Source organism: Homo sapiens, chromosome 9 (genome assembly GCF_000001405.40).
Source record: "Homo sapiens chromosome 9, GRCh38.p14 Primary Assembly".
Lineage (NCBI taxonomy): Eukaryota > Metazoa > Chordata > Mammalia > Primates > Hominidae > Homo > Homo sapiens.
The window spans coordinates 135,674,659-135,687,883 of NC_000009.12; the positions used below are offsets into that span (position 1 = coordinate 135,674,659).

Here is a 13,225-nt window from a genome sequence, read left to right on the forward strand (position 1 = left end):
TCGTCTCTACAAAAAATATACAAAAATACAAAAGTAAGCCGGGCATGGTGGCTCAAGCCTGTAGTCCCAGCTACTCAGGAGGCTGAGGTGACAGGATCTCTTGAACCCAGGAGGCAGAGGCTGCATAAGCCAAGACCGCACCGCACCACTGCCCCCGAGCCTGGCGACAGAGCCAGACCCTGCCTCAAAAAATAAAAATATAAAATCTTAAAGATTAAAACAAAAACTATTAGAACAAAGTCAGAAAAGTTGAGGCTATCATATCCACACTCAAAAAAAATCAGTTGTGTTTCTTTTTTCTAATTTCCAACTGAATGACCACAAAGGCTGAGGTCCTGGACTCTGTTTCCATTTGAAGACCATCTTAGGGGCCTACTGCCGCCAGGCTGGTGTCTTCAGGCCACCTCACTCCCGGGGCCCCGATTCCCCCTCCCCTTCGTGATGGCTACTCAGGGTCTCCGGGGCTGTGGCAGGGGTTGGAGTGCAGCTCCCCCTTCATCACTCTCCCCACCTGTGCAGGTCGGGTTCCTGCACACCTGTGGCTCCAGGAGTATGGATGGCTCATCACGGCTCACACTGGGCCTTCCCTGTCGGACTTCCCTTGTCGAAGGTGGAGATGTAAATGGTGCAGCCTCTGTGGAAACAGCCTGGCAGTTCCTCAAATAGTTAAACACAGAACCACCTGTGACCCAGCAACTCCACTCTTGGGCCCGATAAACGATGTGAGGGGCTCATAAACACCCGGGCGCACATTCCCAGCAGCAGCACTCAGGATAGCCGAAAGATGCAGCAGGCCCGCAAGCCCATCCACACAGGCACTGGGTAAACAAACAGACATGGATCAGCCAGGAAAGGAAGGAAACTCTGACCCACACGAGGACAGGGACGAACCGAGAAAGCATTCTGTTGAGTAAATGAAGCCAGACACAGGCCGGGCTTTGCGGTGGCTCAGCCTATAATCCCAGCACTTTGGGAGGCCGAGGCGGGCAGATCACCTGAGGTCAGGAGTTCGAGACCAGCCTGGCCAACATGGCAAAACCCATCTCTACTAAAAATACAAAAATTAGCCAGGCATGGTGGCAGGCGCCTGTAATCCCAGCTACTGGGGAGGCTAAAGCACGAGAATCACTTGAACCCGGGTGGTGGAGGTTGCAGTGAGCTGAGATCACGCCACTGCACTCCAGCCTGGGTGACAAAGCGAAGCTCTGTCTCAATAAAAATAATAATAATAATAGGCCGGGCACAGTGGCTCATGCCTGTAATCCCAGCACTTTGGGAGGCCAAGGCGGGTGGATCACCTAAGGTCAGGAGTTTGAGACCAGCCTGACCAACAAGGTGAAACCCCATCTCTACTAAAAATACAAAAATTAGCTGGGCATGGTGGCAGGCGCCTGTAGTCTCAGCCATTCAGGAGGCTGAGACAGGACAATTGCTTGAACCTGGGAGGCAGAGGTTGCAGTGAGCCAAGATTGCACCACTGTAACTCCAGCCTGGGCAACAGAGCAAGACTCCGTCTCAATAAATAAATAAATTAAAAAATTTAAAAAAACAGACAGGAAAGGCTGCATATTGTGTGAAATATCTGGAATAGGCAAACCCACAGAGACAGAGAACAGAATGGTGGTGATGCAGAGGGCTGGGGGGTGGGGGCAGTAAAGGCTCATGGCCAGAGTTTCATTTTTATTTTTATTTTGAGACAGGGTTTCACTCTGGAGTGCAGTGGTGTGATCTCTGCTCATCGCAGCCTCGACTTTCTGAGCTTAAGTGATTCTCCCACCTCAGCCTCCCAAGTAGCTGGGGCCACACACCCCCATGCCGGGCTTATTTTTTTATTTTCTATTTTGTAGAGACAAGGTCTTGCTATATCACCCAGGCTGTATCACTCCTGAGCTCAAGCGATTCTCCCACCGCAGCCTCCTGAATAGCTGGGACTACAGGCTCACCACCACACCCAGCTATTTATTTTTCGTAGAGGTGGGGTCTCGCCATGTTGTCCAGGCCAACCTCAAACTCCTGGGCTCCTGATCCTCCTGCCTCTGCCTCTCAAAGTGCTGGAATTACAGGCGTGAACCATATGCCCAGTCCCATGAGGCAGAGTTTCTGTTTGGAGAGATGAAAGTTTTTCCGGGTAGATGGTGGTCAGCGTTGCACAGCTTTGTACACGTAGCTAACGCTACTGAACTGTTCAGCAAAAATGGTTAAAATGGCACATTTTATGTGACACATATTGTACCACGATACATTTTTTTAAATTCTTTGCTGGAATTCCTGTGTGGTTTCCTCCTGGCCCTGCCCTGACACAGAAATGGGGTCCGGTCCGTGGGGCTCCCACTGTCATCTCGTCCCTGTGATGAGGAGAAGACAGCCTGGGAGGCCGACGGCTGGTGTGGCCATGAGGCTTCTAACCCGACAGCCCCATCTCCCTCGTTCGGGCTGACGGCAACTGAGCTGGAGGAGTCTGTGGCCCAGGACCCAGGAGCTGGCATGGGCTGGCATGGGCTACAGGACAGGGCTTTCGTGGGGCAGAGCCCGCAGGTGTCCAGCTCCCGCCCAGGGACACAGCTGCATGTCTGGGATCAGCCTGGGTTCTTGTTCCTCAGCACACACCCACCTGACAGGTAGGAGTAAGCTGATTTAGACAAACAAATCCATACAGCAAATAACAAAAAGATCAGCCTCTTAGATACAGCAACATTGGGAAGATGATATGAAAGGAAAGTTCAGAGGTGCTGAGCTAGGGCAGCCTGGGCACCCAACAAGGCGTTCCTCTATTTCCCAGTGAGGATAGAAGGAAAATGCAGGGGGCCAATTTGAATTTAAAAATACCCAACCCAGAGTAAAATCTCAGCTGCCTTCCTACAAGCAACGCACTGACGGTGATCCCCACACATCGGCATCACCATGGACAAGGTCCTCTCCACGTGGAAATCCGCGCTTTCCTGCTCGCAGCTTCATGAACATTTTCTTGGCTCCTGTGTGCGCCGTGGTCTTTGTGCACCATGGCCTGTGTACACCATGGTCTGTGTGTGTCGTGGTCTGTGTGCACCGTGGCCTGTGTACACCGTGGTCTGTGTGCGCCATGGCCGTCTGCCTGTCTTCGGCACTGGAGCCTCCCTTTGGCTAACGGAGCACCTGGGCGCCTGCCTTCTGCTTGTCAGAGAATCAGCACTTTGTGATCCATGGATGATGCTGACCTGAAATGCCCACGAGCCCAGGTGCCTGTGCTGACGGCAGCGGGCAGGTGGCGGCGCCTCCATGCTGTGGACAGAATGCATGGCCTCTACTGCACGCGCTCTGCAAGGTGACCTTGGAAACGCTCTTGCAATGGTGACGTCACAGTCCCAGGAAAAGCCAGTTCCAGTTTTCCTGCCCACTCCATCCGGCGGCCTCTCCCCATCCCAGCCTTGCACCAAGACGGGACCTGGGTCTCTTGAGGCTTTTGAGTCTTCCCCATCAGCATTTCTTTCATTCAAAATAAAGTTAAAAGAACCCCCCAGGACACGAGGGACTCCAGGCACCCCAAGCTCAGAGGCACAGTTTTGAGGGGAGCTCTCTCCTCACATGAAGTGTGGCCTTGAGGTGCCAGCAGCCCAGGGGGCTCAAGGCTGTGACAAAGCTTGCAGACTGGAATGTGCTGGGACTGGGGCTGGGGTTGGGGTTGGGACTGGGGCTGGGGCTGGGGCAGTGACGGGGGCTGTGGCTGTGGCCGTGGTAGTGACCATGCCTGGAGGCTGTGGTCACAGCCATGGCTGTGGTTGCAGTGACCGTGGCTGTGGCCGTGGCTGTGGCCATGTCAGTGGTGGTGGCTGTGGCTGTGGCTGGGGGGTGGGTGGCCATGGCTGCGGCCGTGGCTGTAGTTGTGTCTACGGCTGGGGTTGTGGCTGAGGTATGACCGTGGCTGGGGCTGTGAAATGTTAAATCCAGCTACCTGCCCCCTGCTTTCTTCCACCCTGGCAGGCCACCCATCACCCATGCCAACATCAGACTTCGACGGCGAGAGAGCATTGACCTCCTTTCAGCAAATGTCGATGCCAGGTACACACAAGCACAAATCCACTTGGCCGGTCCCAAGGTGCCACGCACAGCCACTGTCACCCCCTTCTCCCCCGCAGAGCCCCTCACTCCCCAGCTCCTGGTGGGCCACCCTGCCCCCATCCCTCCAGGCCTTTGCCTGAGCTCCTGGCAGCTTCCCAGGCCCTCTGCCCGCCCAGCCTTCCCTGAGGCTGTGTCTCCCGCAGTCAGGCCAGGCCCAGGCCTTCTCTCCCCTCCCTCACCTGCAGCCCCCATATCCCCAGGCCCAGTGAGGCCAACCCAGCCTCTGCTTCCGCGCAGAAAAAGTGCTCTGCAAATTCAACCGCTGCTGCTGCTCAAATCTCCTATGAAGCTGAGAATTAGAGGAAGCTTCCAGAACCTGGCAGCCCCAGCAGCGTTCCCAATGGCAGAGCCCAAGCCCTCGGCTCTCCTGCTCTTCCTCACCTTGCACAAGATCTGCTCTCCAGATGGGTCATGAAAAGGCATTGGGGACAAAAGAGAAAACCACTAGGGAAAGAGGGGAGCATCCACAAACCCCCTTCTGTTCCTGAGGCGCCGAGTGGCTGAGTGGTGGCCGAGCAAACCCACCCAGTGGGGCTGCGGGCACCTGGCCTCAGGGCCCACTGAAACCACTTCTGGGCTGGCCTCCCTTGCTTCACCCAGCCCCATGCCACCCTTCCCCGTGCAAACACTGCACCCCCAAAGCTCTGCCCACACTCAGGCCCAAATCAACCTCTTACCAGCGCTGGGGCCTCCTGTCTACTTATTTTTGGCAGCATGTAACACACAAAAACATCAATGCACAACTCACTGAATTCTCACAAGGCATACACGTGTGCAATGGCCACCCAGCAGTCCTTCTGCACCCCCAAACCTATCCCCACCCCTCCCTAGAGGTGAGCACTATTCCCTCCCCCTCCCCACAGGTCAGCACTATCCCCTCCCCTCCCCACAGGTGAGCAGTATCCCCTCCCCTCCCCACAGGTGAGCAGTATCCCCTCCCCTCCCCTCCCCCTCCCCACAGGTGAGCACTATCCCCTCCCCTCCCCACAGGTCAGCACTATCCCCTCCCCCTCCCCACAGATGAGCACTATCCCCTCCCCTCCCCACAGGTCAGCACTATCCCCTCCCCTCCCCCTCCCCACAGGTGAGCACTATCCCCTCCCCTCCCCCTCCCCACAGGTCAGCACTATCCCCTCCCCTCCCCACAGGTGAGCACTATCCCCTCCCCCTCCCCACAGGTCAGCACTATCCCCTCCCCTCCCCACAGGTGAGCACTATCCCCTCCCCCTCCCCACAGGTCAGCACTATCCCCTCCCCCTACCCCCAGGTCAGCACTATCCCCTCCCCTCCTCACAGGTGAGCACTATTCTGCTGTTTCAGGTTGTTAGGTATATTTTTAAAATCCTCATCTCTGAGAATCACCCAGTTGTTGGTCTCAGCTGTGATTTGTCATCTCCATGGCTCTACCACTGCTGTACAGAACGTCCCTATGCTTCCTCTGTCTACTCTTCCAAGGATGGACACTGAGTCATCCCGTTTGGGTCGCTGGAGCCACGTGTGCACTGTTGGGGTGGGGCTGGCAGGCGGTCTCTCCGGTGGCCGGGGCTGCCCAGGGGCTCGTCCCAGGTGATGCTGTAGCAGGAGGAGCTGCAGACAAAACTCTTCAGACACCGGATTAAAGAAGGAAGAGGTTTTTATTCAGCCGGGAGCGTCGGTAGACGCACGTCTTAAGAGCCGAGGTCCCCGAAAAAGAAATTCTTGGCCTTTTTAAAGGCTTACAACTTTAAGGGGTCCACGTGAAAAGGTCGTGATACATCAAGCAAGCGTGGGAAACGTGACCGGGGGCTACACGCATCCGCTAACAGAACAAAAAGTTTCACAACGCTTTTTTCATACAGCGTCTGGAATTTACCGATAACACAAGTAGTTTAGGTCAGGGGTTGATGTTATTATTATTACTTTTTTTAACTCCTAGGGCTGGGTAGTGGTGACAAGGTTGTCTGGCTGTTTATCTTACTTTTGTTTTTTTCCACTTTTCACTTTTTCTCTCCTGTCTTGTGAACTAGGCAAGGTTGGGGGAGGAGGGCAGCAAGAGCAGTAGTGGTCTCCTTCCTTAATGCCACACAGCTTCCCGACACACAGGGCTCCAGCAGATTGACCCAGTGCCCCTGCCTTTTGACGGCCATGCTTTAGCCACTATGGTGAGGGAGATTGTGGGGGGCCCCCAATCATGTCAACTAAAGAATGACAAGGCTCATACATTTGGAAAGGAGAGCTTTATTGCTCATAAACGGTTGCAGCCTGCAGGATGGCCCTTCTGACTGGCTGGGAAGTGCAGCCTCAGGCCAGAAGCCAGAAACAGACACTTTCACATGGAAGAGAAGGGAAGAAGAATTTACACTGCATGGGGAGCAGCCCCTCCCTCCCTACCTGGAGACCTTTCCTGTGTATCCAACAAACGATTGAGCCAGGACCAGTGTGCTCTGTGGGCAGGGGGCTTCTCCCCAAATCCCAGGGCACCAGGTGCTGGCCACCAACCAGTGCTGCACCCAAGCTACCACCCACCCCTGGTGACCAGCAGGTTCCACACCAAGGGTCAGCTGCTCCGCAGGAAGGCACAGGGGCCCTGAGAGCTGGTGGAGGGACCCCCAGGCCGAGTGTCCGATGGGGCTTCCCAGAGGGGACACCTCACCAGGACGGGGCAGGAGGCAGGGTGTGGGGCCGCACAGGGCCTCAGCACAGACACAGGGTAGTGAGGGCACTGAAGGGGCTGTCACTGTATCCCAAGGGCTTGGGGAAAGTGGCACATTTTTTAAATGAAAAAAATATATGTTTTTAAAGAGGCAAAGATAGTCACCTTTTTAAGTTGGATTTGACTCAGCAGAGACCCGTGAAGCCTTCTCCAATCCCCGAGCCGGGCATCCGTGGTTCAGTCGGGGAAGCCCCTGCTGCTGGGGACTGGGGTTGGGGGGGGGGTCACAGTCAAGTGTGAGACCCAGGGTCCAGCAGTGACCTGGGACCTAAAGTAAAACAGATACAGTGCTGGGCTGGGCTGGGGAGTGTGACCCTCCAGGGGAGGCAGGGACCCCAAGCCAGCATCTGCCCTCAGAGGCTGCCAGGGAAGAGCAGGTACCCTTGGGAACCGGCGCCAGGGGCAGGCCCATCCCCATACACCCTCCCTGGCATCCGGCACTTCCTCTCTCCACCCAGGACCCCAGCTCTGCAGACTAGATCCAGGACCCCAGGATGCCACCCTGTCTCTGCTGCAGCCTGCATGGGGGACCCCAGAAAACCACCCCCATCTCAATGCCTCCCCGTGGAGGCCAGCGGGACTCCATGACAGGACTCCAACGAGGACGTCAGAGCAGGCAGTCACGTCTCCGGACCCTCCCTCCAGCCCCAACTGGCCTTACAGTCCCTCCGCTCAGGCCCCTCTCCCCCAGTGGCTGCCACCCTGCCTCCAACCTGAGACCAGCCCCAGCGGGTTGTACTTTTTTGGATATTTATTATGTTTATTCGTAATTTGATTGCTTGTTTTTCCAGTGCTTAGTGGACAGCACATCTCAGGGAGCCTCAGCCCAGCCCTCCCTCTGCCACCGGGGGAGCCTCCTCATTCACATAACACCCTCCAGGGGCACACCTTGCCCTGCAGGATGAACTCTAAACACGTGCTGGTGTCCAAGGCCCTGCCTCTCCCGTAGCCCAGCCTGGCTGTCCCTGTCTGCAGCCCCCAGTCCCCTGAGGGGCAGAGCTTGTCCTCAGTCCCAGGCCTCTACATGTGCTCAGCCACCACGTCCCATCCTCTGTCCTTCACGGGTGATTTTGTTGTTGTTGTTGAGACAGAGTTTAGCTCTTTTTGCCCAGGCTGGAGTACAATGGCACAATCTCAGCTCACTGCAACCTCTGCCTCCTGGGTTCAAGCGATTCTCCTGCCTCCGCCTCCCAAGTAACTGGGATTACAGGCACCTGCCACCATGCCCGGCTAATTTTTTTTTTTCTATTTTTAGTAGAGACGGGGTTTCACCATGTTGGCCAGGATGGTCTCGATCTCTTGACCTCGTGATCCGCCCGCCTCGGCCTCCCAAAGTGCTGGGATTACAGGTGTGAGCCACTCCACCCGGCCCTTCATGGGTGACTCTTACACAGCCTCAGCTGCACTTCCCCTTCCAGGTAGCCTTTCCTGAGCCCCGAGTCTGACAAGGAGCCCCTGCCCAGGCGTCCACAGCCCCCAGTGTCGTCCTCATCATTGGCCCAGCCCTGAACCCCCTCTGTGCATTTCTGGGAGGCTGGAGCCCCAAGTAAATCAATGAATGAATGAAGAATGAGTGAGTGAACACCTTCCCTGTCTGGGAGGCCTGAGGCAGGGGCGGGAAATGGGGAGGCCTGGGCAGCCTCCTACTGCCGCATCCTCTGCACCTGTCCCCGCCGGCCAGCCCACACCTGGGCACACCCGACCCAGAAAAGTGAGGGGGAGGAGAATGACGAGGAGAGCAAACGCACCTCTGAGCCCAGGCCTTCTGCGAGGAAGAAGATGCTGGAGAAGCGGCCAATCTAGGAAGAGGCCGGGTGGCCCCCATCTCCCCAGCCTCACACCTAGCCCTGAGTGGGGGCCACCCTTGGATCTGACCCGGGAAAATGACACAATTCTGGGCAGGGCCAGCCAGGAGCTGGGAGTCCTGGGTGCAGCCAGTCCCTGCCCTCTCTGTGCCTCAGTTTCCCTCCCGTAGGACCAGATGTTTGCTGGGGTCCCCGCCAGCCTGACCCTTGGCTGGACCCACTCCTGGGACAGCAGGCCCCCTGCAGGGGAAGGAGCAACCCCAAAATGTGGAGGGCCTAGGGGGTGCCCCTCACACCTCCCCACTGGCCACTGCAGGGGAGCCGAGCAAGGGCCGAGGCTGGGCTCTCCGAGCAGGACCCAAGCCAGGCATCCACCAGGCCACTGCCCGGGGCCTCCCGCCCTCCCTTCCCGCCTGCCTCTCTCCTCTTCTGCTAGGGACCTGGCAGAGACGGGGCCTGCGCTTGGGATTTAAGAGAGTCACCGCTCCACACCTGCACTGTGCCCCTCCCACCCCAGGCCAGCCCTGAGGGGGAGCAGCTGTCACCCTGACATCCAACAGAGTCCCACTTCCGAGGCCAAGGTGAGCACAGCATGGGTTTGGGGGACTCCCAGGAGGGCTCATGTGGGGAAGCCAGGAGCATGAGTGAGTCATTAGCCCCATCACAGCCTTCTCGGGGAGAGAACACACAACTGGGGGTGCCTCCCCCTCCCCTCCTCTGCAATGACAGTTCTCTGTCCCTGTGCCTGACGGGTCCTCCTTGGCGACAGCCTCCTGCCCCACTACATGGACCTGCGCACCCTTCGAGTAACCTTGCAAGCCCCTTAAAGGGGCTGGCCCTTCTAGTTCCCTTCCTTCAGCTCCGCTCCTCTGCCCAGGGCTCTTACGTGGTTGGGGTCTGGCCCTGCTGGGGGATGGGCCCTTGGAGGAGAAGAGAAGAGACAGCCCAGCTTATGAACTTGGCAGTTCACCCAGGAAAAACGAGTCCCCTCCCTTGTCCTGGCACCAAAGTGGCCTCCCAGCACAGTTCCTGGGCTGAATCAACGTCCACTGACTGTAGAGCCCATTCCAGGTCCTGAAGCACGTTCTCTGAGCACATGCTGTGCCCAGAACCCTGGAGCTCCAAGGAACCCCCAGGGCTGGGCTGTGAATGCAACATGGAGAAGTCCAGGGCTGCTCCCAGCCACCTGAGGACATGGCTGCTTGCCCCATCCTGGCAGGGAAGAGCCATGGCGGGCAGTGCCCAGGCACAACACAGCCTCAGCAGCCGGACTGCCCATGGCTCCATTCCACCCCAATTCCACCCCAACACTCTCCAGGGAAGGGGGCCGCAGAATGAGGGGAAATGGACCCCATCTTACCATCAGAGAGCTAGACGCTGCTCCGTGGCCCTGCCGAAGGTGGTTTCAGAAATCCTGATTCCAGAGACAGCAGCACCTGGTGGGGAGGGTACTGGGATGCACTTCGGGGCAGCCTGGTCCCCTCTGGGGAGGAAATCGATCACAGAGCCCCCCGCCTGGAGGGCACAACGGATCCCCACTTTACAAGAGGCAGCCGACTGGGGCCTCTGCATCCCCCCACTCGCTCCTACCTTGGTTCACCCATGTTTATGGCCACGCGTCACAGGCGTGGGGGGCTGCCAGCTGAGCCCAACCAGGTCGGGGCGAGGCAGGTGCTGTTGGAAGGGGCATTATGACACCCCAGCACTGCACACACGCCTTCGGCATCTCCCGCTTGGACCCACGGGTGTCTGTGGCAGGGATCACAGCCCTATTTTGGGCATCAGACGCTCCCATAAAAGGACAGGGAGGCGATGGGGGTGGCTCTTTGGTGAGTGCTGGGCCCTGACACCACGGAGAGGAATCACCCCCTCCTGGGAAGACCCTCAGGGCTGTCCTTTAACCCTCCCTGAGCCCTCCCCTCCCCCCAAGGTCACAGCTCCCACTCCTCCCACTCGGGACCCCAAAACTGCACCAAAGACGTGATGGGGGTCAGTTTTTGCCCCTGACAACCCCACCCCATTTATAAGGCAGACGCCAGTAAAGTGACCAGTGGTTCACAGGAGGGAGACCCTCCCCCCCGCACTCCCACCCCAATCCCCGTCTTCCTCAAAAATGCCCCTGGAGGGTCAGACTCCAGCCTGTGGTGCCGGGGACACATCCCCCAGGAAACCTCTGGGCTGAGGCAACACCAAGTGCAGAATAGGGGTGACCTGTGTCTGCGGTGACCTGTGGCTGTGGTGACCAGGGATAGGGTGAGCCAGGGGTAGGGTGAGCCGGAGATGAGGTGAGCCTGGGGTGAGTTGAGCCAGGGATGCGATGAGCCGGGGGTGGGGTGACCGGGGGGTAGGATCACCGGGGGTAGGTTGAGCCAGGGATAGGGTGAGCCAGGGGTAGGGTGAGCCGGGGGTGGGGTGAGCCGGGGGTGGGGTGAGCCGGGGGTGGGGTGAGCCAGGGATAGGGTGAGCCTGGGGGACGGTGAGCCGGGGGTGGGGTGGCCTGGGGGTGGGGTGACCCGGGGTGGGCCAGCGTGGGGTGACACTCGGGGGAGAAGGTCAGCAGGGCGGTGAGGGGGTAGGAATCGGAGCTGCTCAGTGGGCCCAGCTACCAGGAGCCCCGGAGGGTCCTCGACGGATTTGTGCATGAGAAACCAGATCGCTTCTACCTGGGGTGGGCAGCTCTGCTCCCGGGTGGCCTTGGCGCTCCTTGGCTGGCTCCCTGGAACTGGAAAGGGCAGCCCTGGGGCTCCTGGTCACTGCAGGGGGAGTGCGTGGGCCCCTGCACAGCTCTGCTCTAGGAGGAGTGGGGTCAGAGGACCCTCGGCGGACGGGCCTCTCCCAGCCCCCTGCAGTGGCGCCAAGGCTCCAGGAGCCGAGGCCTCTTCCTGAGTGTGTGCTGTGCCACTCATGATCCTTTGAAGAGCCCCCTCCCCGGCCTCGCACCCAGCCAGGCCCACAGTGCACACAAGCAGAGGCCCCATTCATGTCTCTGTGAAGCTCGGGGCCTTGTGTCTTTGGGGGCAGCAGCCGCAGGATGTGCATCCATGGGAACACAGGGAGGGTGGCCCTGGAACAGCGGTGGCTGGGAAAGGTCTTGCCTGCACACAGCAGCCTGGCCTGGCTGTGTCTGACCTGGTGGAAGCCCCAGGCCCCTAGCCCAGCTCCTGCTCCTCAGAAAGGCACCTGGGGGCCAGACCTCGAGGTCCAAAGTTCATTGTCTTTGCCAAAAAGCATCTGCATCTTGGTGGCCACTGTGCTGTTATCGGGGCCTTGAGGTCCATCCAAACACAGACACAGGGCACTTTAGGAGCAGTGACTGGAACAGCCTAGAGGAGGCTAGGCAGCAACAAATCACTCAGAAAACCCAGCAAAGGAAAGCGCAGACCCCACGGCCTGTCCCCGGGGAAAGGCAGTTCGCACATAAAGGCTGCCCCTGGCTGGCCCAGCTCTGCCCCCATCTGCCCCAGGGGGTGGCCAGGTAGGGAGGAGCTGGCTCTGGCACAAACCCAACTCCACCTGTCTGTGGCCTGCCTTGGCCAACGTCTCTGCCTCTCAGGCTGGAGGGCTACAGGCAAGCAAGGAAGGTATAACTGACCCTCGTGCTCGCTAAGGAGGAAACCCCACCTCTCCAACGAGCGATTCCATGTGGCTTCAGCTGCCACCCCCCTTGAGGATAACACAGAGCATCTGTCCGTCCTGCTAACCCTTCTGGTCCAACCTGGAATCCCTTAAGTCAGCAGAGGAATGAGGAAACTCACATTGATCCAGAACGTCTCTCTCATCACCCCCAAGAAGCCGAGACCCTGCTACTCCAGGAGGTTCTGGGAGGACCCAGAACCCATGTTCCTTAGAGCTGGCACCATTGAGTACATCCACTGTGGGCAGGGGGGGTCCTCGCCCTGGATAAAAACCAGGCGGCCACCTCAGTCCTTGAGGACACGCCCCTCCCTTGGTGCCAGGCCCCTTTGACAGCCAGGGGGGGCTTCCATGGGTGAGTGCAGCACCCTCCTCCCCGCCTCACAAGTGGCTTTGCCCAGACCCCCACACCCTCCCAGTGGAAGGTGCCCCCGGCCAGCGCTGTGACCAGCATGTGATGGGTCATGGCCTGCTGACTGCGAGCGGACTCGGCCTCTCGCGGGTGGGCCCACCAGCCGTGCAGTGTGGAAAGGTAGGCACGTCCATCCTAACTGCCGTGGGGGCAAGGTGGGCAGGTGAGGCCAGGGCGGGATGGCGTGGGGAAGCAGGAAGGAGCACCGAGATTTCTGGCTGTTGGGGCTGGGCCCAGGGGGACACCCCTGGGCAGACAAGGGCTGAGGTGGTGGGTCCCCTGGGGGTGCCAGGACCACGTGGTGGGAGTGGACCAGGGAGACAGGGAGCCCAAAAGGAGGTGTCACCCCTTCCAGGGTCAACACATGGGCCTGCCCTAGTTCACTGCTTTGGGGACCAACCTCAGCATCTTGTCCCAGAGCCAGTGGCGGGTGGGGCCTTCCCTGCCCTCAGGGCCAGGCTGTGCTTCAGAACAGCAGAGGCTGACACCCTAGGCTCCAGGGAGGCCTGGGCCTCAGAGGCCGGTGGGCTCACCTGGGGTCCAGCTGATCCCTCCAAGCTCTGTTTCCCAAGAGGTACCCCAGGGAGC

The 13,225-nt window shown here is 58.7% G+C and overlaps 2 long non-coding RNA genes across 3 annotated transcripts; one reads left to right on the forward strand and one right to left on the reverse strand.

Annotated features, from left to right (window-relative positions):
• Positions 1-541: 541 nt before the first annotated feature.
• Positions 542-10,453, reverse strand: LOC105376317 (uncharacterized). Of its 2 annotated transcripts, XR_930430.1 has the most exons (4): positions 10,183-10,453; positions 9,953-10,028; positions 6,893-7,055; positions 542-818 (listed from the first exon to the last, which is right to left on the reverse strand). It is a non-coding gene; the product is annotated as an uncharacterized LOC105376317 (long non-coding RNA). The 2 variants fall into 2 exon arrangements; XR_930429.3 differs by lacking the exon at positions 542-818 and having other exon boundaries at positions 6,297-7,055.
• On the forward strand, positions 3,387-4,904 carry LOC105376318 (uncharacterized). The gene is made up of 3 exons (XR_930431.2): positions 3,387-3,579; positions 3,958-4,035; positions 4,333-4,904. It is a non-coding gene; the product is annotated as an uncharacterized LOC105376318 (long non-coding RNA).
• Positions 10,454-13,225: the final 2,772 nt, after the last annotated feature.